The sequence below is a fragment of the Homo sapiens genome, chromosome 3 (genome assembly GCF_000001405.40).
Source record: "Homo sapiens chromosome 3, GRCh38.p14 Primary Assembly".
NCBI classification, from domain to species: Eukaryota; Metazoa; Chordata; class Mammalia; order Primates; family Hominidae; genus Homo; species Homo sapiens.
Genome location: NC_000003.12, coordinates 42,143,349 through 42,166,390, shown reverse-complemented (window position 1 = coordinate 42,166,390; position 23,042 = coordinate 42,143,349). Strand labels below are relative to the sequence as shown.

Genomic DNA, 23,042 nt, shown 5'->3' with positions numbered 1-23,042 from the left:
CCAAGACATTTAATAAGGCAATAAACACATGGTTCACTCTGGCACCCTCACCATGAGCCTGGCACTCTGTTAAGAGTTGTCTGTATGTCACCTCCTTTAACGTTTACATCCATCCTATGAGGAAAGTATTACTACTGTCCCATTTTAGACAGAAAGAAACTGCCCAAGGTCACAGAGCTATTATGGAAGGGCCTGATCTGTCTAACCCCTAAGTTGGAGCTCTCAATGTCTGCTAAGTAAATAAATGAATCGTACCCTCGAGGAATTCCTGACCTAGTTGAGAAGGTAGGGCACATGCATAAACTGGCATAACACAGAGGAGCAAGCAGGAAAGGTGTCAGGTAAGAGACACTGCTAGGCAGCTCAGATGATACAAGAAAGCTGGGGATGGCAGAGGGACACGGGACAGGCCCCAGAAATGGGCAGAGTGGCAAAAGGACCCCAAAATACAGAGAACGTGAGTAGGCTCTTTGTCCATGGCCAGCCTTGGGGTGATGCTGGTACCCCACTATTAGGAGAACCACCCAGAGAGACTGACCCCACAGGAGGCCTGCGTGGGGTAGCCATGGATACTGAGGACCAAATCCCAAGCGGAGACAAGGACAATGAAAACCATGAACCAAGAGACCTTTGTAACAGTGCTGCGGTAGGTACTGATGCGCCAGGTCAGTTCCTCCTTCGACACTGACCCATCGGGAAAGTTGTGCACGGCACCCTCGAGTGCTGCCGATGACACTACATTAACAAAGGCCCAGGACTCAGGCCCCTTCTCTGGGGCTGACATTCCCAACTCCACAGCCCACAAAAGCCTGACGCATCACAACCACCTCCAAGACACGGCACTCCTGGATCCAGTTATTCCCCCACAGGGCCCAGTCCTTTCTCTGCAGCCCAGGAATGCTCTCCCAAGCTGGAGAAATGTGCTCCATCTGTGCTGAATCTCCAGCTTCGCCTGGGAACCAGATGGAGAATTTGAACAGCCAGCAGGTGCAGCCACTGGACATAGACACAGAAGGCTCTGGGTTCCCACCACTGACTGGCATTTTTTTCACCCGTTTTTCCAGATGATCATGTCTGGTTAGTGTTCAACACCTCAAAACTGCCCTTTGTGCAGAAGACTGACTCTGCCCACTCACATACTCTTAGCAACCACCCCTAAGGAAAGTGGAATGCATTCTCTCTCCTGCAGCCCGTGTTCTCGGGGAACCTAAACCTGGTCATGAGAACACTCAGCAAACTCCAGACCATTGTGCATCTCTATCCAAATCATGCCTTCTCCTGAGCAATCCTGAATACCATTTGCCAGAAATTTAGTGATTCACTTTGCAAATGGGTAATAGGATTGGAAGTAACCTGATGAGAAGAAATTACAAAGTCAGGCTTCTTGATGCATTTCATTTAAGAAAAAGAAAAAAGAAAAAGAACACTGGAAATTTGCCAGGTAATAGGCCACAAGGAAGTGACCATGAAACTTCTCTTTTCACCAGTGTTTTCCTCATGCAGCTGCCCAGGCACTGAGACAGGGCGGGACCCACTATTTCATTCATGCAGTTCAGCCCTCTTAATCTCATAGTGAGGAGAGGGATTGCGAAAAGCAGAAGAGCCCTCCTCTAAATATGTCACTAAGCACCTGAGATCAATTTTGCTTTCTCATTGTGCAAGTTTTCAGGAGCCAGAAGACCCAGGGCCTGGATATTTCCTCTCCCTGGAAAGACAGTGAGAGCCAAGCCCTCTCCTGCTGCCTGGTCTCCCAGGAGCACCCACCTCATGGGATAAGAGGATTCAATGAGATAATACAAGGGAAGGGCCTAGAACTCTGTCAGCTTAGAGCCTGGGCATGGTGAAACACAGAACCCCACAAGGCAGGGCAAAGACCCAGCTCTGTGCTTCGAGCTGAGGGACTCTACACAAGTGCAAACTATCTGAGCCTCAGGTGCTTTGCTTGCAAAATGAGAATGTTTACCTGAAAGTTTGTTTTAAAGATTAAATGAGTGACATGAGAAAGTGCCTATTATCCCATAAGGTGACCTGGAGAGAACAACAAATGTATCCTGTATCTGTAACTATCAGAGCAACTGAAATACTAATTGTATCTTACAGATTTCAACCAAAAGCACCTCTTTTAGGCAAGTTGACAATGTAGAAACACCTTGAAATCCAGGTAACACGGTTAGATCCAAATCCACACACATATTTTCACTACTCACAGAGTATTTCTGCTCCACATGGGACTGGCTTCCTGTGAACTCAGGACAAAGGTGGTGTGATCATGACAGAGAAAAATGGGGTCCTGCCCAGCTTGCTCTGAGATACACGTGTTTCCAGCAAAACTGGCCATGACACCAAACTTTCTAAGTTGCTATCTTTCTGATCTGCACCACAGCCTTGCTTCTTTCATGTCAGGAGCAAACCTTAAAAGTGAGTTTGTTTCATTTTACAAAGTAAATGAAGCATGTTGGCAAGTGTTTTTCTTTCGAGGTTACTGTCCTAAAAATACTGTTAACACCTCACCTACAGGACTGCTAAAAATGATTTCTTGGAGTATGAGGGAAAACTGGATAGAAACAAACAAGAGAAGGAGAGAACAGACAGTAATTATCTATCATAAGATGACAAATACAAGGCAAAATCTCTTCCCTTGAATCCGATTATAAGGCAGATACACTGTTATCTATGAGGTGTGGATTAGCACAGGACAATGTGCATTGGAATCACCCAGAGGGCGTGTTAAAACCCAGCTTGCTTGGTCCCACCCCAGTTTCTGATTCAGTAGGTCTGGAGTGGGACCCAAGAAGGTCCATGCCTTTTTTTTTTTTTTTCTTTGAGATGGAGTCTCGCTCTGCCGCCCAGGCTGGAGTGCAGTGGCGCGATCTTGGCTCACTGCAAGCTCCGCCTCCCAGGTTCAAGCAATTCCCTGCCTCAGCCTCCCGAGTAGCTGGGACTACAGGCGCCCGCCACCATGCCCAGCTAATTTTTGCATTTTTAGTAGAGACAGGGGTTCACCATCTTGGCCAGGCTGGTCTTGAACTCCTGACCTCATGATCCACCCGCCTCAGCCTCCCAAAGTGCTGGGATTACAGGTGTGAGCCACCATGCCTGGCCTCCAAGAAGGTGCATTTCTAACAAGTTCCTAGGTGATCCTGATGCTGCTGGTCAGGGACCCCACTTTGAGAACTGCTAGCATCATAGTTAAGAGCAGAGAGTTCTACAGCCATTCTAAATAGGCTGGGACCACTTAACTCACTGTGTGACTTTAGACAAGTTGTTCACATTTCCTCCCATAAACCTATAAAATGGGAATAATAACAGTATTTGACCTCGAATGTTTTAAAGGTTCAATGCATGAATCCACATAAAGGCACTGGCTGCACTTGAAGCAGCAGAGATTTAACATCACTGAAAATGGTGCCAAGTACTTAGGAAGTGCATAATGACATTCACTATCATCATCATCTGGCTCTTGGTTTTTTAAAAAAGTTTAATACATGTATCTACATAAATTTTCAGGAAAAGAAAATTTCTAACGAAAAATTTAACAGTGGCCCCTGATGGCTGCAGATGAGCACGAGGGTAATAAGACCTAGGCCTATAAACTAAAGCTGACCTCTTGCCTGTATAACCAGAGTTTGTCAAATATTTTGCTGACAGGAACTGGTCAGAAACCTGTTTATCAGATGTAGAACAAAAGGCAGGATTGACAAAATCAGTCACCCTCCACCAGACCCCTAAGATACCTAAACTTTCTCCCTACTGCTCAACTGCATATTTACCTTATGTACAGCATCGCTGTGCACCAAACAGAATTACAGGAAAGGAACTGTTGCTTCACTATCCTCTTCCCCCACCTTCTGTGTCACACGTATCCCCCTATTAGAAAATGCATTATCTATGGTGTCTCAAGCCGTCTACTTCAGGACACATTCTCGGTCTATACTGAGCCTGTGTTCCTGGGCTCAAGTCCTCAAGCCTGGATCAGAATAAACTGTGATTTCTCTAAGTTCTAGTGCCTGTTATTTCACTTAGTTGACAAAATATATAATGAGAGAGAGAAAGAGAGGGTCTCTCTCTCGTCATATATTTATATATAATATATATTTATATGTTTATATATCAGCACATATTTATATACATTATATACATGAAATGGGCACAACACAAATTTTTTTCCTCTCTTGACTAGGATATATGATACTGCTCCAGAATATTTTATAGCCTTTAATCTAGAATCATACAGTTCAATGACTGGTATTTTTAAAATCTTGCTAGGCTTTAAGGCAGCAGCTCATCTCATACTTTAACATGCGTGCCCATCATCTGGACATCTTGTTACAAGGCAGATGCTGACTCAGTGGGTCTGGGCTGGGGCCTAAGGTTCTGCATTTCTAGCAAGCTCACAGGTGATGAGGGCACTGGCTGCACTTGAAGCAGCAGAGATTAAAGGGGCAGGAAGCTAATCCAGCTAAATCTGGGGGAGCCCTAGTTCTACAAGGGCAGATGGATACCTTTCTCCTGATCCCTTCCAGGGACCTAACAAATCCTCAATCCCGTCACTCCTCTCCCCTCCCCCATCTCCTTCAAGACAAGGCCAGAAAGGCACCAGCCAGAATGCAGGCCTCAGCATTGGGTCCCTCACCCTCCCCTGGCTTCTCCCAGTTTCTTCCCTTCCTGCAATAAAATATTTGCAGCTGTCCTGGAGGGGAAGTGTTAACCATATTTTTAGAACAGTAACTTCAAAAGAAAAATACTTTCAGTATATGGCTGATTATAAATAATGTTGAAAACAAAAGTTCCAGCCTGGGCAACTTAGTGAGATCCTGTCTCTACCAAAAAATTTTAAAAATTAGCTGGGCAAGTTGGTGTGTGCCTGTGGGCCCTGCTACTCACTACTAGGGAGGCTGAGGTGGGAGGATCGCTTGAGCCCAGAAGGTCAAGGCTGCCGTGAGCCAGGATAACACTGCTGCACCGCAGCCTGGGCAACAGAGTGAGACCCCGTCCCAAAAAAAAGAAAAAAGAAAAAAGTTATCCCAAGACAGGAAAATAGACCATCCTAAAGCAGAAGTTTGAAACATATTCTGATTGTTTTTACTCAAGGGACCTAAAGAACATTAGTCATTGTTTAAACATCCTGATCAGCCCCCAAAGCTCCTTTCTCTGGGCTGTGGGTGAAAGCCCTGGAAGGCCAACTAGAAAGCTCATACCAGCATCTGGGCCTATCTTTACCTAACATCCTCCCTTTTCCCTGCAAAGGAGCATCTCTTTAAGAGAGCCGGCAGTGGGCTCCCAGATTTCAATGTCAGCCTTGGGCTATTCATTTTGAAATATTTCTAAGATTTAAAAAATCTTTATTTCAGATAAGTGATTAATAATTTTTTTAAAAATAAACACTGCCAGAACAAAAACATGCTTCATTTAATAAGACTGGTCTCTTGTCCATTAACTTATCAAAACCCAACCAGTCACAAGATAACAACTGAATCTCTTAAAACAGAATGCTGGAATGCCATGCACAAAAAAAAATTAGTGATATTAGCAACAACAAGGATGAATTTCAAAGACCTCAGTTAAGCAACAAAAGCCAGACACAAAGGAATACACCCTGTTTGATTCCATTACAAAGATCGGGAAGTGGCAAAACAAATCTAAGGTGACAGAAGTCATAATAATTGTTTCTGGGAAGGTAGATGTAAACTAGAAAGGGACCAAGGGACTTCCTGAGGAGCTGGAAATGCTGTTCTCTGGGTGAGGGGGTGGGGGCTCTTACAAGGACACCTTTAAGCCATTTGCATAAGATCTCTAACTTATACCTCAACTTAAAAAAAAACAAAAACAAAACAGTGCTATGAAATCAGCAAAACATTCAAGCCTATTTAGATACTAACAAGGAAAGGATCAAATCTGAGCCAAGTACAGAATTTACCCTCTTCCAAGAGGTCCTGGGTGTCATGCTGCCTGTGGGTTGGCTTCCTCTCTTCATCCTGGCAGTCGTATTCAAAACATTCTTCTTCCCCGCCCTTGTCTCGCAGGGACATTGCTGAAGTCACCCCAAAGCCAAAACATCACCCTAAGGGACCATCCTTGGGGGTGCCCCCGACCCCCTACCCAGAGGAGCCATGCAGGCCTGGGCCCCCAGGGCACACACTGCGCCCTGGCCTGGGCCGCAGACATGCCCTGGCTCAGCTGAAGTGGAGGGGTGTACACAAAGCTCCTGGCCCAGCATCACCCGGGCAGGACCCGGAAGGGGGTGGCTCCTATGAGCCTGGAGGAGGGGCGGGGTGGGGTGGAGCACTTGGCGGGGTGGGAATGCCCTGCTAGGCGCAGGAGATTCAGAGGAAAGCCCTGCAGGAAGGTACAGGATCTCAGCAAGCTCTCGGCCTCCTAGACCCTCTCCACCTTTCCTCCCCCAGCAGCAATGAGGAGTGGTAGCTTCCTAGAAGTCTCACAGCAACTGCATGGGGCAACATCAACTAAGCCTTGAGCAGGCACACCTGTTTAAAGGTGGGGCGCTGGCGGAGGAATTGTCCTGCTGAAGCACTGCCCAACACCCCCAGATGAGAGACTTCCTGTGGGCGGGCTTAAGATGTGGAGACAAATCTGACTGTGACAACTGCCTGACAGCGCTGAGCAGAGGAAGGAAGGGATCATTCTAATTTCTAGCAAAAGGGAAAAAAATGCAGTGACCATTACCTCGTTAAACTTAATTCATCCCAGTCCTTCTTTGATAATAACCTCCATTTTCTCTTTATCAATCTACATTTCATAAAATCCTGCTCTTACCCTAAATCTGTGTTTCCACAGCCAAATTTATAAAGATCTCTCTAATTGCTAGAACAAGGTAAGAAAAAAATCTAAAGCCTAATAGCTTGCAAAGTTGCCTGCAGAAAGAAGCCACAGTTTAATTGCACACCTTGATATCAATTCCTCTATACCATTTGATTTTGCCTGCAACAGTGAGAACGGCAGGTTCTTCCATCAAACCCAGTGAAAGGCAGCCCCGGGTGCTAGCGTCTCGGAGAATCACAGCTCATTCTGTAATCTCTGTGCTTCAGCCATCTCCCAGCTACACTGTGCAGGTCTCCTGCTCCTAACAGCTACACCAGGACACTCATTCCAACCTCCCGAACAGGCTGCCTCCCCCAGGTAGCCAAGAGAGATTTTAGCAGGGGCAAGGTCTTCATAAAACAATTTTCTACACAAGTTCGGGAACCATATCTCATTCGTCTTTGAATCCTTAGGGCCGAGAATTCTGCTCAGGTGGCTAAAAATGTCAGCTAAATTGAATTACTACCTCCATAAAGACTAATATGACATCATGTACAAGTGCCTCTAAATAGAAAACCAGAGATAATAAAGATTTTATTTAAAAGTCTAAGGACATATGCATCCTCTAATTATTATTATTATTATTATTATTATTATTATTATTATTATTTTTGAGACAGAGTCTTGCTTTGTCGCCCAGGCTGGAGTGCAGTGGCACGATCTCGGCTCACTGCAAGCTCCGCCTCCCGGGTTCACACCATTCTCCTGCCTCAGTCTCCCGAGTAGCTGGGACTACAGGTACCTGCCACCACACCTGGCTAATTTTTTTTTTTTTTTTTTTTTTGTATTTTTTGTGGAGACGGGGTTTCACCGTGTTCACCAGGATGGTCTCAATCTCCTGACCTCATGATCCGCATGCCTCAGCCTCCCAAAGTGCTGGGATTACAGGCGTGAACCACCACGCCCAGACCTCTGGTTAATTTTTTAGAACTTGAAAATTAGAGCTGTATTTTACCATGTTAAAGATGTGTTCTTAGCCAAAAAAAAAAAAAAAAAAAAAGGTGTAGAAATTCAGGCAGGGAGTTCAACATTCCATTTTGAAATACTGCATAAGCTTTAAATATAAACACACTCAAAAAATACTTATTTAATATTAATAAGCTTTATCGGATTAGACTAATTCAATTCAGATGACAGTGGGCACATCTATAAGGTGTTGTGAATGACACAAATGGTTATTCTGAACCCCTGAGAAGGCAGGAGAGAGGAAGAACCTCCACCTTGTGCGTGATTCATTCAGCAAGTATCAGATTGACGATAAGATGAGTAGGATATTGTGCCGGCCACAGTGTATATAAAGGAAAACAAAAGCTAATTTCACCAATTCAAAAATACTATCAAGTGACTTTACTCATAATAAATTTATTTATACTCATCTTTTAATTCAAATCTAGAGTATCGCTATTATGAAACATACAGAGACTTAGATATTCTAAATGATGTCCAAGACTCTATATATTACACAATATTTAGAACATGACTTCATTACTTTTCCCCAACCTTTAATTATAAAAATATTTAAAATATACAGAATAAAGAACACTACAGTGAATGCCGGTATGCCTCCATCAGAAATGAACAATGAATATTTTGTTTTTGGGGGGTACACAGTTCAGATTTACAGAAAAGTTACAAGAATAGGACAGAAAACTCCTGGATAGTACAAAAAGATTCCCCAAATGGTAACATTTACTACATTTACTTTCTCTTTCTCAACACTGAAACACTACTATTTTGTAACCCATAGATCTTATTGAGATTCCCTTCAGTTGTCCCAATAACATCCTTTATGGCAAAAGAAATCCAAGATCATGTGTTTTATTCAACGGCCAGGTCTCTTGAGTCTTCTTTAATCTGGAACAATTTCTGAGTCTTCATATTTCAAAACAGATTTTTTGAACAATACAGGCCAACTATTTTGTAGAAGGTCCCTCACTTTGGGTATTCCTGGTGTTTTCTTATGATTAGATTCTGTTTATGAACTTTCGGCAAGAAAACACAGAAGTGGTGTTACTTTCTCTTCAGTGCATCTTCTCAGGAGGCGTCTGCTGTGGAGCGGTCCCACTACTGCCAATGTTAACCTTTTTTTTTTTTTTTTTTTTTTTTTTTTTTTTGAGACAGGGTCTCATTCTGTTGCCCAGGCTGGACTGCAGTAGTATGATCATGGCTCACTGCAGCCTCGACCTCTAGGCTCAAGGGATCTTCCCGCCTCAGCCTCCTAAGTAGTTGGCACCACAGGCACATGCCACCATGCCTCGCTAATTTTTTTATTTTTTGTAGAGACAGGGTCTCACTATGTTGTCCAGGCTGGTCTCAAACTCCTGGGCTCAAGCAATCCACCCACTTCAGCCTCCCAAAGTGCTGGGATTACAGGTGTGAGCCACCATGCCTGGTCCCATCAGTAATTTTTTTTTTTTTTCCAGACAGAGTCTCACTCTCTCTCCCAGGCTGGAGTGCAGTGGTGCGATCTCTGCTTGCTGCAACCTCCGCCTCCTGGGTTCAAACTATTCTCCTGCCTCAGCCTCCCAAGTAACTGGATTACAGGCGCCCGCCACCACGCCTGGCTAATTTTGTATTTTTAGTAAAGATGGGGTTTCACCATGTTAGTCAAGCTGGTCTCAAACTCCTGACCTCAACTGATCCACTCGCCTCGGCCTCCCAAAGTGTTGGGATTATGAACGGGCATGAGCCACAGAACCCGGCCCCCATCGGTAATTTTTAAAGCTCCAGTTTTTAAAGCCCAATGTTTACTTTGATCATTTGGTTTCCTCACTGTGAAGCTATTATTTTTCCCTTTGTTATTCAACAGTGTTTCATGGTGATATATTTCATGGTGATATACTTTGAGACCACCAGTTTTAATAAGTCTTGTCTTAGTCATTTATGTGGATGGATGGGAAAGTGGTGAATTTCTAATTTCTAATTCCATCATTCCAACACTTATTAGTTGGCTTTTTATTGTAATAACTTTTTCTTCCCTCCCGTTATTTAGTCATTCATTTATTTTTATCAGTATAGACTCACGGATTCTTCCTTTATTCTATAAGTCATAATCCTTGACTACTATTATTTATTTTGATGTTCAAATTGCCCCATATTAGGCCAGTGGGAGCCCCTTCGGGCTGGCTGCTGTGTAAGACATGAAATTTTGAACACAGGACCACCCTAGACTCTTCATGTCACCCCATTTCTCTGGGTTTAGACACTCTTCACGATATCCCTCTCCCAATCTCTTCTTTCCTCCCCTCCTGCTGCAAGGGTGTGAGAGAATTCTGAAAACTCATGCACATCTGCCTTCACTTCACGGTTAAAGGCAGAGATGGGCCAAAGGGCATCTTCCCTGAGAGTGTAGTTTCTCCAAAAGTCAAAGCAAAACACAACCCCCAAAGACCGGCAAGAAAGCCTGGGAATCCCTGTGCCAACCAAGGGATGGAGAGGGCTGGGCCAGGCTGGACATGGAGCCTGGAGCTGGAGGTGTGAAAGGCAGTTAAGTAACAGATGTGTGTGCCGTATCAAAGGCACAGACTAGACACTGGGACCCACAGCAGGGAAGCAGAGAGTGAGTTCCTGATCCATCTCCAGGAACACTGGACAGGAAGACCAGTGGAGGGGAGGGTCAATCACCTCTTGCAGGGCGGAGGCACATCATTCTCTGTCTCCTGCTCACATCTACTTGACATACTCCATAGAAGTCATCTTCCCAAAGCTCTACCCTGTGTTGTCCAAAGAGTGGCCACAAGCCACTGGGACTATTTATGTTTACATTTAAATGGATTAAAATTAAAGTTTAAAAACCAGTCACACTAGCCATATCTCAAGTGCTCCACAGCCATATGTGACCAGTGGCTACCGTATTTGACAGCAGAGAATAGAACATTTACTGCATTACAAAAAGCTTCACTGGATAGCACTGATCTAAAGGGTGCCCCTTATTTTCAAGATGGGAGCTCTATATTTTCTTGGCTTCCACATCCTGCATCTCCCCTGCAGCCTCTGCTTCCAGCCTGGCTTCCCACCACACCTCAAACAGACAAAACAAGCTGCTAACTTCTGCCCACATAATGCTACTGCCTTAGCTCACCTATGAAGGGGACCAGACTCCCACCCCTACAAACAAAATATGCCTCTTTGACATAAGGATTATTTTGAGCAGAAGCAACTGAAGAACAGCAGATGCCGGAAAAGCTCTAAAAACGGAGCATAAATTTTCCTTTTGTAAAGAAATTTACATTTGGAAGGGTGTCTCCGTCTCCTGTACAATCTCTTATCTATGGACAAGGCACCCACTTGAATCTGCACACCTTATTAAACATGTCTTGAGTATCCCACGTTTCCAAGTTGCCTTCCCATAACTTACTCCCCAGCAGGAATCCCAAACCCGTTTTCCTTTGTCTCACCTTTTCTCCATACTTTGTTGCCCTTTGGGATGACACAGAACCCGCCAAATTCTACTTGCCTCTTTGACTCTTATTTCTTTGTGATTGCCAGTGCCTACTTACATAATTAAAACTGATTTTTCTCTTGTTAATGTTTTTTATCAGTTTGTTTCTCAGGGCACCTAGCTACTGAATCAAGCAGGGTAGAGGCATAAAGTTTTTCCTCTGCTATACCCTCAACGTCCCCACCTCCCTAGCCCATATCCTCCTATCTTTCAAGGTCTGGTTCAGCACTGCTCCCCATCTCCTTCAGGTATGAGCATCTTTCTCTCCACTTCACCTGTCCCATTGATGCTCAATGTTCCTCACTCACATTTCACTTCTCTGCTCCTAGAGAGCAGGGTTGGCACGACTGAGGGTCATGTCCCCAAAGACCTTGCTCATACAATTTAAATAAACAAATAAGGCTGGGCAAAGAGGCTCACACCTGTAATCCCAGCACTTTGAGAGGCTGAGACAGGAGGATCACTTGAGCCTAGGAGTTCAAGACCAGCTTGGGCAACATAGTGAGACCCCATCTCTACAAAAAAATTAAAAAATGAGGCAGGAGGATCACTTGAGCCCAGGAGGTCAAGGCTGCAATGAGTCTTGATCATGCCACTGCACTCCCGCCTGGGTGACAAGAAGAAGACCTTGCCTCTAAATAAATAAATAAATAAATAAGGCTGGGTGCAGTGGTTCACGCCTGTAATCCCAGCACTTTGGGAGGCCAAGGCAAGCAGACCACCTGAGATCAGGAGTTCGAGACCAGCCTGGCCAACATGGTGAAACTCCATCTCTACTAAAAACACAAAAATAAGCCAGGCATGGTGATGGACACCTGTAATCCTAACTACTCAGGAGGTTGAGGCAGGAGAATCGCTTGAACTTGGGAGGCAGACATTGCAGTGAGCTGAGATCGTGCCACTGCACTCCAGCCTGGATGACACAGCAAGACTCCATCTCAAAAAAAAAGAAATAAATAAATAAAACAAAATTAAAATTAAATAAACAAGAGCACCACAAAGCTCCAAAAACTTGGGTTCCAGGCTTGCTTTGGCTTTCTTGCCAAGTCTCTAGTCCTCAGCTCCTATGTCAGAGAGGACATTATCTCTATTTTACTATAGCCAGTGATAATAAAAACAGTTACATTATAAAACTGTTTACATTTCATTCTTTTTCTTTTTTTAATCCCCTTAATAACCACAGAGGAGAGTGCTGTGTGTGGAAAGAGAGAAGTCAACCTCTACCTTCACGGGCGCATCACACAATAAAACACAAGACAAAGAAATGGGGATCTGTTTGCGTCAACACGTAGGAAAATTCGAAAACTCAGTTCAGAAATGCAGCTTTTCAATTAATGCTTAAAATACCTCTAACAAAACTTCACTCACGCACAAAAAGAAAAAAAACACTCACGAACCAGCCACCGCCATCTTGGGTGACATTTCAGAGATCACTGAAATCAAGTGAGGAACAGAGCGCACCAGACTGCCCTTGCGTATACCATAAATCTTCATTATAGAGTAAGAAGCTGTAAGAATAACTTCTGCGACAATCTACCCGAGTTTCTTCATTTGTGAAATCAGTATGAACTAGACCACCTCCTACCCCAACATTCAAATCTATCAGGTTATAAAAGGGGGAGGTGAGCGGGGATGGAGAGCAAGTCTGATTACAAAAGAAACTGAAGCAACAAACAGGTGGTCAAAATGCTGTACCTTGTTCAAAATACCATTCCTTTTTTTTTTATTTTTTTTAAGACAGGATCTCACTCTGTCGCCCAGGCTGGAGTACAGTGGCATAATTATAGCTTCCCTCACCCTCCTGGGCTCAAACAATCTTCCCACCTCAGCTTCCGAGTAGCTGGGACTATAGGCGCATGCCACCACATTCAGCTAATGTTTTTATTTTTTGTACAGACAGGATGTCACCATGTTACCCACGCTGCTCTCAAACTCCTGGCCTCAAGTGATCCTCCCCCCTTTAGCCTGCCAAAATGCTGGGCTTACAGGCATGACACACTATACCAGGCCCCCATTAGCCTTTTCAAAGATTTTTTTTTGTTAAAGGCCTTAATAACTAGTACTATTTCTGAGAAAATAAAATTAAACACTGACCTGGCTCTTCGTCGCTTACAAAGAGCTATCACTTTATTTACACTCCATAAAGGTTCCAACCAGTGTTGTTACTCCTGTTTTCCAGATGGGGAATCTGAGTTCACAGAGGCTCACAGAAATCCCAGGATGTTCCCATACCACATGGCCACATGAAGTACAAAACAGGCCTCAAACACAGACAGCCAGCGCTCTTTCTGCCATTCTACCTATTTCTAGAGTAACTACAAAGAGGGCTGTTTCTTTAACATAAGGACATACACTGAACCCAAGTCCTTTTGAAAATTAAAAAGGTGTCATACTCTTTCTAAGCACACTTTAAAAAGTGGCCAGTGTAGCCAAGAAACAATCTAAGATCCCGAAACTGACCTAAATAATTCTTTTCCAGCCCCTCCCCATGCCTGAGGCTGCTTTCCATGGACATCAATCAGCACAGTTTCCCAAACACACGTGATGTAAAGAATCCCCCAAAGCATGTGCTAAAAATTTAGATTTCTCAGGACTTCTCCTAGTCTGATGTGAGTCTGAGAATCTGCTTTTTTAATAAGCAGATGACTTTCAATGATTTCCCAAGTTTTAGAGGTTCTGCACCAGAGATGGGATGCATCCAATCGGGGTAACTATGACCCTGTCTGACACCAGAGTTTAAACTGTAAACATTGAGTATGTATGTGCAAATTCTGCCAAGGCCATTGCTATTTTGCATTGATCGCTGGCTATTTCAAATCTCTCGTAAAAGTTACTTGAAGACACTGGGTAATCAACCCCTCCCATGTCTTATTATTATAAGCCCCTGTCCCATGCCTCTTATTATATCCTCCTCTGGGGGCGGGGGAGCAGGACAGGCAGAGATGGGTGCTGAATAGAAGACCCCCACAACAAACATTAATAAACAGGAGGAATACAGTTATTCAACACTGAATAAAGTTCTCCTAACCCTCAAAGATAGAAGAGAACAGTAGCTATCCCTTAATTCCAACTTCAAAAGAGGGGTCCTAATTGGCCTGCAATCTATATTCCCATCCATATACATTTCTTTTTCAGTGCTAACACTGCAATTTAAGTGTGAGTCAGTAGCTCTGACATAAATGATGATTCTGCATCTTTTTTAAAACATTTGACTCACCTTTTATTAGTATCAAAAGTTCTGTAAAAGCTTCCCTCATTGACGATTCAAATGCCAAATAATCAGAGACAAAGCAATGGTGTGTGTCTATTGAGTTGCAATAAAAAAGACAGAGGCAAATAAAAGACAGGTACATATAAACAGGGGCAAATTTCATTTCCAGACTAATCTGCCTGAAGCTAGGAAGGAACTCAACTAGTTAGAAATGTGTAAGCAAGTAACCACAAAATTGGCACATAATTGAAATCTCCTTTTTGTACGTTTCCTAAACCAGTTTATTTCTGGACTTCTGTTCCTTTATTCCCTACTTTGCTACCTCTTTAAATGGGAGTATGAAAATACCAGTGGTCCCAGTAAATTCTGTCTCAAAAACCTTCTTCCCTTCATCCAAAATGGGATAGATGATAAAGGACAAGTATTTTGCTCAACATACATTCAGACAATAACAATAATTCAGAAATAAATAAATCAATATATTTACCCTTGAACAGTTGAGCCATCTCCTCTTCTATTTTCCTTTGCTCTTAGAGGAAGACAGATCAGGGTCTCTCAGGGCCAAAAGACTCAACTGAGGAAGTGCTGGGTAAGAAAATCCTTCTGATGGATACCCAGATAAGAGCAGGCCTCCGCTCACCCTCCAGATTGACCATGGCAAGCGACTGGCTTTATTTCAGGGTGTAAAGGGAACTGGATGGTGTGGCATTTGGGTCATGGTATTAGGAAACCTTCTTCCTCCACTTCTAGGATGGCATCCACAGAGCTATGGCCCCACCTGACTAATCCACGGGGCCTCTGACAGCACCCTGCTGTAACCAGTGCTCCCTAATCCAATGGTACAGTGAGGATGTATTCAATCCCTTACTTTAAAAAGTTATAGAGGGTTCAATGAGTCACAAATCACCAAGGAAACTAGAAGGAGGTCAATGATGGTTTCCAAAAAGGAGCATCTCTAGAATTTCCTTTTGGAGTTAGGTAACAGAATGGGAACTTGCTTTTAGAATGAATATATTCCAAAGAAAAAATTCACTCATCTTTTCCCCTCATGACCCTGGGAACTGCCTCCAATCCTTGTTACTCAAAATAGTTAAAGATGTACACAGAACGAACATGACAATGTCTGCATCTAAAGCTGGGGGCCAGTGAGATTGAACTGGCATAGTTTTTCCACACATTTAAATACCATCCCCTGAGAAAGCCTTAACCCACAGTCGCGGCAAAAATCAGTGGATAAGAGATAATTATGTAGTTTTTCAGTTTACTAACTAGGCCAGGTCCCAGCCTGTTACATCATTCAGGTTAATCAAATGTAGTCAGGAATAGAGCATTCTGAAACTCCCGACTCAATTAAAAAGCACTTACCTTATCTATTAATGGCTCATATAGGGCTGGGAACATATCATCACTGGGGAACAGACCCTCAAAGTGTATATATTAATTGGGCCCCTTTTTTGTGAAGGCATGTGATATGAGGGTCACTTTCAAGACAAAATTAAAGACAGATTAACTGTGTAATACACAATTTTGATGTCCAACACCCCAGGAACCTGAGACCCCGCCCACTGTGATGTCTCTGAGAACGCACCTCAGTGCTGTTTTCTGTGTGCTTGAAACCTCCTGAGACCTGTCCAGCCACACAACTTGGCCTCCACCCAGTCTCCCTTGGAATGTGCCACACCCTCCCTGCACAAACCAAGGTAGTGACAGAAGGACACATTCTTTCCCTGCCCCTCCCATCACCTCCCCACCCCCATCTCTGTTGGATCCAACAAGCAAACTTCATTTGAATCACCCGCTAAGTGGTAAGCTGCTTCTGCCTTTTCTCCAGCCTCTGATGGTTCCCAGGTCTGGGCTCAGAAAAGGGCAGAGTCTTCCAGGCCTGCTGCTGACAGTCCAGGAAGCCACCTCCTGAACACACTATTCCAAGCCCCCAGTTTCCTATCCCCTCCAACAGCAAGAGCGCAGTGAACACATTTCCACTTGCACACATTCATGCATCAACAACACACTCACGTCTCACACCAGAGAAAATTCAATCCAATAGAAGTATAACACTTACAAGCCCAGCACACCAAAAACCATCTCCCCTTCTAAGCAAACAATCATACATACTGCAGGAGTCTTTCACGGTAAAGAGCCCTGCCCACCTGCCACCTCCTCCACCATGCCTTTGGAATTGCCAGAGCCAGTGGTGCTAGTTCTGGTACCTCCCACCCGCCAGCCGCCTGTCTCCCCTAAAGGTTTCAGGACACCCCCCACCCAGAAGGAGACAATACCCCTATACATCCCGGCTCTGTTTTGCAGGGGCCATAATTACCATCCGAGCATTCTTCATAATACCAGTCTAGTTCATAATAATCCGCTTCGATAAATTTCTGCATAGTCAGTAGTCTTGCAGAGGAAAGAATGGACTTCACAGCACCATCAACGTCAAGTAAAACGCTGCCATGCCTCCCCGCCCTTCCAGAATACTGGACAGAAGAATATCCCGAAACACACCAGAATTAGGCTGTACATTCTTAACGACAGTCTGGAGCCAAAACAGTAAAGTGGGCAATGAAAAGAAAAATTCTATGGGGGAAGGAGGGAGTAGGAGGAGCAGAAAGGAAGGCAATTTGCAGAGAGCTAACGGAGACCCTGGCAGCACTGCCAATAAAGCAGCACTGGACAGCAGCCCTGAATGGGAGTAGCCAGGATCGTCCTATCCAGACGCCTAGAGGGTGACGTCAGAGACACACACCACCACTGGCTGTCTCACTCAAGCCTCGTCTCCTGCTCGCCGCTCATCTTTCAATCTAACCGTTGCCATAGAAACTGGCCGGCTCTGAAAAATGATGCAGAGATGGAGGAAATGTCTTCCAAGGATGCTGGCAGCAGAGGCTGAGAGATGCCAGGCAGGGAAAAGAAAGGGTACAGGCAAGGGAGAGACAGAGGGGTCAGCACCATCATCACCTTCAAGAAACGTAAGGACAAGCTTATTCACCCTACTTTGGGTCACGATAGAAAGAAGACTCTGGATTTGAAATCTGCCACCTTTTAAAATCTGCAAATCATTACTTTTGGTTTCCTTTCCTCAACCTGATTTCACACATTAAACATCTTCTATAATTTTTGACCACCACTTAAAGGAAATGTAAATTACTTAGAAAATGGAAACATTTTCACTTAGATGCACTACTATTCTCTGCTCATGCTTTTGCTCAAACTTCTAGAAAAACAGCCTGTCACATACAAATAGAGGAGGGCGCCATCACAAAGGGCTTGTGCAGTACAATATGCTGTTTCATGGACACGTACATGTGTAATCAAGGCGTTAAAGTGCACACTAGAAGAAAAAAGTCCACCTGCAGGAAGTTAGTTGCCTCTGGGGAAGGAGTGAGGAAATGAGGTTTTAAAACTTTCCTTATAAATGCACCCATATGTTTTATTTCCTTAAAAAATACAGTTAATATTAGTTCTAAATGTTTGATATGTTTGAAATATTCATAATAAAACAAGGTAGTGGATAATAAGACAGATTCTAGGCTATCCTATAGGTTGAATTTCATTCCCTAAAGCAGGGTCTCTCAACCTCAGCACTATTGACATTTGAGGTTAGGTAATTCTTGCTGTGGAAGGCTATTCTGGGCATCGCAGGATGTTTAACAGCAACCCTGGTGCCTACCCACTAAACGCAGGTAGCACTACCCTCCACCCCCAAGATGTGACAACCAAAAATGTCTCCAGACATTGCCAAATGTCCCCTGGATATAAAACTGCTTGGTTGAGAACCTTGCCCTAAACCAAAACTACTTATTTACTTCATTGTCCTCTTGGCCAGGTACTGTAAGTATCTGTTGGTGTCAACAGCAGCATATATACAGATAATAGTGTGTGTGTGTGTGTGTGTGTGTTTCTATGTATGTGTATGTCTGCTTCTGTGTGTAAAATAGAAATTTAAAGGAAAATCACATAGACACACACATCTTATATAGAGAATCTTAGATGGAATCCATACTTTGTATCGATCCATCTCAATCTTCCTAAATCACTGGAAGCTGAAGAGCCTGTAACGTTGTGTTGTGAGGTCCTCAAAGAAATCTCTCTCTGCTCTGGGGTACCCTCTCCTCATGTTACAGCCATGTCTGGCCCTTATCATTGGGCCTTGCTTGCACACCTGGGCAGGATACCACATCAGACCTTCCCACTTGCCAGGTGGCTGGCCAACCCCATTTGGCCCAGCCTTTAGTGAGAGCAGGTCCTGTCCTCTTGTGGACTGCAAGGATCCAACCCTTTGGCACTCACTATGGATAACAGAGCCTCAAGTCCCGGAGGGAAAAGAGAAGTTAAAGGCAGGGGCCCAAACCACAAGCAGACAAAGAAACCATCCCCGCATGCTGCAGTGGAACCACTGATGCTGATGATGAATTTTGGCTAAAATTGTTAATAGGATTCCAGAAAAGTTCAGAAAATGTAGGAGACAAGGGAATGACACCATCCCTGGCCCTGCTGTCTCCTGGCTACCACTTACACCCTGGAGGACCTGTGCCCCTCTGTCATCATCTCTTCCTCCTCCAAGACACTCCCAACCAAACTGCACATTCTTTCTGGTCAAAGTATATATCAGATCCCATAGCCTCCCTCACTTACTTTATTCCCTCTCCCTGATCCCAACTTGAATATACATTTTCAGTTTTCTAGGACTTGTGACTATTTAAAGTCAGCAGAAATGATTTTAATTCCTTTCTTATAACTGCCCCTGCTATCTGACACATCTCATCTCTCCCTCTAGTCTTTAATATTGTCCTATCTCTGGCCATGATGGTGCCTCTCAAGAGCCCCACTGCAAGCTCCCAAACAGCCCCTCAGATGTTCACCTCAAGACAGGTGAATGGAGTCCGGTGTCCCGAGGTTTTCTGAGATACCTTAAGGTATTTCTAAAAAGATGATGATGGGCCTTATAAACAGGCAAATAGTTAACAACAAACTCCTAAAAAATCAGCAATGTTCGCCAGTTCAATCCAATTAGGGTGGGGAAGGTCCAACAAGAATTTGCAAAATGATTTAATAAAGGAACCAGAGGGCTGGTTGCATTGGCTCATGCCTGTACTTCTACCACTTTGGGAGGCCAAGAAGGAAGGATAGTTTGAGGCCAGGAGTTCAAGAACAACCTGGACAACATGGCCAAATCTCATCTCTACAAAAAAATTTTAAAACCAGCTAGACGTGGTAGCACATGCCTGTAGACCCAGCTACTTGGGAGGCTGAAGCTGGAGGATCACCTGAGCCCAGGACTTCAAAGTTGCAGTGAGATGTGATCATGCCACTGCACTGCAGCCTGGGTGACAGAGTGAGACCTTACCCCAAAAACTAAAAAAATAAAATAAAGGAACAGGAAATGCAAACTCCTCAAAGCATCACATGAAAGTCAGACAAACTTCCTAATAGCTGAACACATGGAGGTTCCTGGAGCCTCTTCATCTGTATCCTTCACAGTATCCTTTGTAATAAACCAGTAAAGGCATTAAAAAACATACATTTATGAGACAATGGTGTCTATGAAACTATGGATGATACAAGAGCTTCATTTGATATGGAAAAGTATCCCAATACTGAGGTCAGGAAAACCAAGTACGAACTCTGGAAGAATGGCAAGACAAGTGGGTGAACGGCAATATTGCTTTTCATCAAGAACAAGGACATCAGCTATTGAAGACGCATTTGGATACTTTTCTTAAAGGTGAGAGTAGACTGAAGGTATTTTTTCCTCCTTGTTGAGATGAAATGGTTTGCAGACCAAGGACACAATGTAGTTGGTGTATAAATCAGTGCACTTGGGATACAAGAATTTTTTACAGAGCAGAATCTTTCTTACTCAGAAGAACCAATTAGCAAAGTTCCTGAAGCCAAAGTATTTAAGAGTTCTTCAGAGAACATTTCATTGTACTGTTGCAGCATTTATTATCTTCCCCAAACACATATCGACAAATTTGACAGAATTTGGGATAGAGGAGCACTGGCTGCCATTAATCTAGGAGATTTCAAACACTATGCAGATACAATGTTGTCCCTACTGGGAAAAGGGTTTCAGTACCTCGAGTGTGTTCTTTCTTATGACCCAACTAAACATGCAGGCCCACTAGCTTATGTTCCACATGCTGAAATTGAAAGGTTGTTCAGTACAATATGCAATATTCATTGTCTTGAGATGATTGATGGTTTTGAAGAACAACATGAAAGTTGGCAAATTGACTACATTTTTGAAAAGTTATATCTACTTACAGAAAAGTAAATCAGATGTAAACAAAATCAAGTAACATCAACATGTTTTTGAGTTTCAGCAATTGAAAATTATGCTAAGGCATGAAAATGTAATGCATAAATTTTTTATTGTTTACAAATCATATCAAAGATCTTTGTTCAAAAACGCACATAGGTTTTTTTTTTTTTTTTGAGACAGAGTCTCACTCTGTTGTCCAAGCTGGAGTGCAGTGGCACAATCTTGGCTCACTGCAACCTCTGACCTTAGGTTCAAGGGATTCTCATGCCTCGGCCTCCCAAGTAGCTGGGATTAAAGGTGTGTGCCACCACACCCAGCTAATTTTTTGTATTTTTAGTAGAGATGGGGTCTCACCATGTTGGCCAGGCTGGTCTCAAACTCCTGACCTCAAGTGATCTGCCCACCTTGGCCTCCCGAAGTGCTGGAATTACAGGCGTGGGCCACCACGGTTGGCTCCCTTTGCCCATTCTTAATTAGGCAGTTGTTCAATTTTCAAAACTGCATATATCTTTTTAGAAGAAAATAGATACTAAAATGTTAAAGTAGCTCCTTTGGGGAGGCGAGGAGGTGGAAGATTATGACTGTGTGTCTTGCTTACAGACTGCAAGACTTTTTACCAATCAATCCGCATGTATTACTTGTATAATTAAAAAATAAAAGAACAATGCAATGAATATTACTTAAATATAATAGACATAGAAAAACTGACATTCTATGAAATTTAGAATAATTGAAGAAATGTAATACTTCAGCAGGGTTCAACTAATCCCAAGAGCTATATAAAAGATTAGCTTTCACTATAAACCTTTGTCTTTTACTGAAATCCTAGCCATCTCTTTGCAAATGTTTTCTCCAGTACAATTTTATATGTAACAGAAACAAGAAACAAATACATTTTAATGAAATAATACAATTTATATGGAACAATATATTCTCAAATTATAAGAATAAATTTTGTTAAAGTTAAAAAAAAATATACAAGGATACAAATCCCTTATTTGCTTGCTTTTTTGTTTTGATAGAAACCCCTTAAATAATACTTGGCACATTTACCTTACAGCACTATGAATTTTTTTAACATTTTATTCCTACCCCATTACCATAAAACAAGTAAAAAATAACAGATTTCATAGTTAAGAGCATGGGCTTTTGGAGTCAGATGGTCTGAGGTTTGGTACAGGCTCTTTGTTTTCCATGTCTGTGACCTTATTAGATAACATCAGTCTCATCTGCTAAATGGGGGTGATTATAATACATTCCACAGAGACAGGGGAAGCTATAATCAATTAGTGTATGGCAGAGCACTTAGCACAGTGCCTGGGACAAAGAGAGTTTGCAATAAATGTTAGTTGTGATCATCTTCATCACTCTAATCTTTCTTTTTTTTTTTAAGGGAAATAAGCCAGGAAATGAACAATTAAAAAGGGGGTACAAATTCCTAAGCTACAATTAGGGAAATGAGGTAGAAATGCCATTTATAAGCTTTTTCCAACATAACTGATTCAAAGGCACTGAGTTCACAGTAATGAGCAGGAGTGACAGGTGGGGTGAGGTAGGGAGCGAGGCACCATTTCTAAACAGTGACAACACATTATTGAGCACAGCTTGAATTAAGTCCAAAGCTGCACATATCCAATTCACTTTTTAAGAAAATAGGAAAGAAACAAAACAATGTATAAATAAGCACAAAGGAAACAGCATCATTTAGGGGTGATTTTTACGAGCTTCAAGCAATTTCAAAGTGAACTACACCAAAAGTATTTCATATGCTTGGAAAGACAAAGTAATCTGTCCATAGCTCTGTGAAGAGTTTCACAATTAAAATCCAAGTCTATCTGACATCAAATCCACTTTCCTTCACACCAAGAGTCCCAACACTCCTGAGGGTTACAGCCCTCCCTCGGCCCAGGTTTACTGCAGCCGAAAAAGCAGCCTCCTCCCTACCATGACCTGACACTCCTCCATCACTGCCACTAGAAAGTCAGGAATAAAAACAGGTCCCAGGAGCCGTCTCGGGTAAGCCTCACAGCCACTGGTCAGCCATTCCTTAGTCACCGCATCTTCGGCTGCCCCATTTAGAAAGTGCTGACTGTATACCTGGCATTTAATACTTTATATCTCACTTACTCCTCAGACCCCTGCGACCTAATGGCTCCCTCATTGTGGAGACAAGGAAAGGGGTCTTAGTGGCTTAAGTCACTTGCCCAGGATTGCACAGAGAATACCAAAAGCATCTGGATATAAACCAGGAATGATCCCCGTCCTAAGCCTTTTCCACTTCTCAATAAGTGAATGAAAAAGCATCCAAG

The 23,042-nt window shown here is 43.2% G+C and overlaps 1 protein-coding gene and 1 pseudogene across 34 annotated transcripts in view, besides 2 other annotated features; one reads left to right on the top strand and one right to left on the bottom strand.

Annotated features, from left to right (window-relative positions):
* Positions 1-23,042, bottom strand: part of TRAK1 (trafficking kinesin protein 1) — a 212,798-nt gene that overhangs the window by 59,500 nt on the left and 130,256 nt on the right. For 5 of the 34 annotated variants that reach the window (XM_017005908.2, NM_001349249.1, NM_001349248.1 and 2 more), the window contains exon 1: positions 16,792-17,156. The exons of 24 other annotated variants lie outside the window; for them this stretch is intronic. In XM_017005908.2, the coding sequence (XP_016861397.1) occupies positions 16,792-16,855 (64 nt within the window). In that variant the 5' untranslated portion in view covers positions 16,856-17,156. Of the gene's footprint in view, positions 1-5,917; positions 6,199-16,791; positions 17,157-23,042 lie in introns of those variants that run through there. 5 more of the 34 variants (XM_017005907.3, NM_001410741.1, XM_047447721.1 and 2 more) reach the window with 1 other exon arrangement.
* Positions 6,157-6,756: an enhancer, noted in NCBI's record as "OCT4-NANOG-H3K27ac hESC enhancer chr3:42201127-42201726 (GRCh37/hg19 assembly coordinates)". NCBI's record gives its function as "activates a minimal SCP1, AML or CMV promoter by ChIP-STARR-seq in naive H9 embryonic stem cells {active_cell/tissue: H9 hESC(naive)}" and the evidence as "EXISTENCE:reporter gene assay evidence [ECO:0000049][PMID:30033119]".
* Positions 14,209-14,771: an enhancer, noted in NCBI's record as "H3K27ac hESC enhancer chr3:42193112-42193674 (GRCh37/hg19 assembly coordinates)". NCBI's record gives its function as "activates a minimal SCP1, AML or CMV promoter by ChIP-STARR-seq in primed H9 embryonic stem cells {active_cell/tissue: H9 hESC(primed)}" and the evidence as "EXISTENCE:reporter gene assay evidence [ECO:0000049][PMID:30033119]".
* On the top strand, positions 19,964-20,883 carry TPMTP2 (thiopurine S-methyltransferase pseudogene 2; annotated as a pseudogene).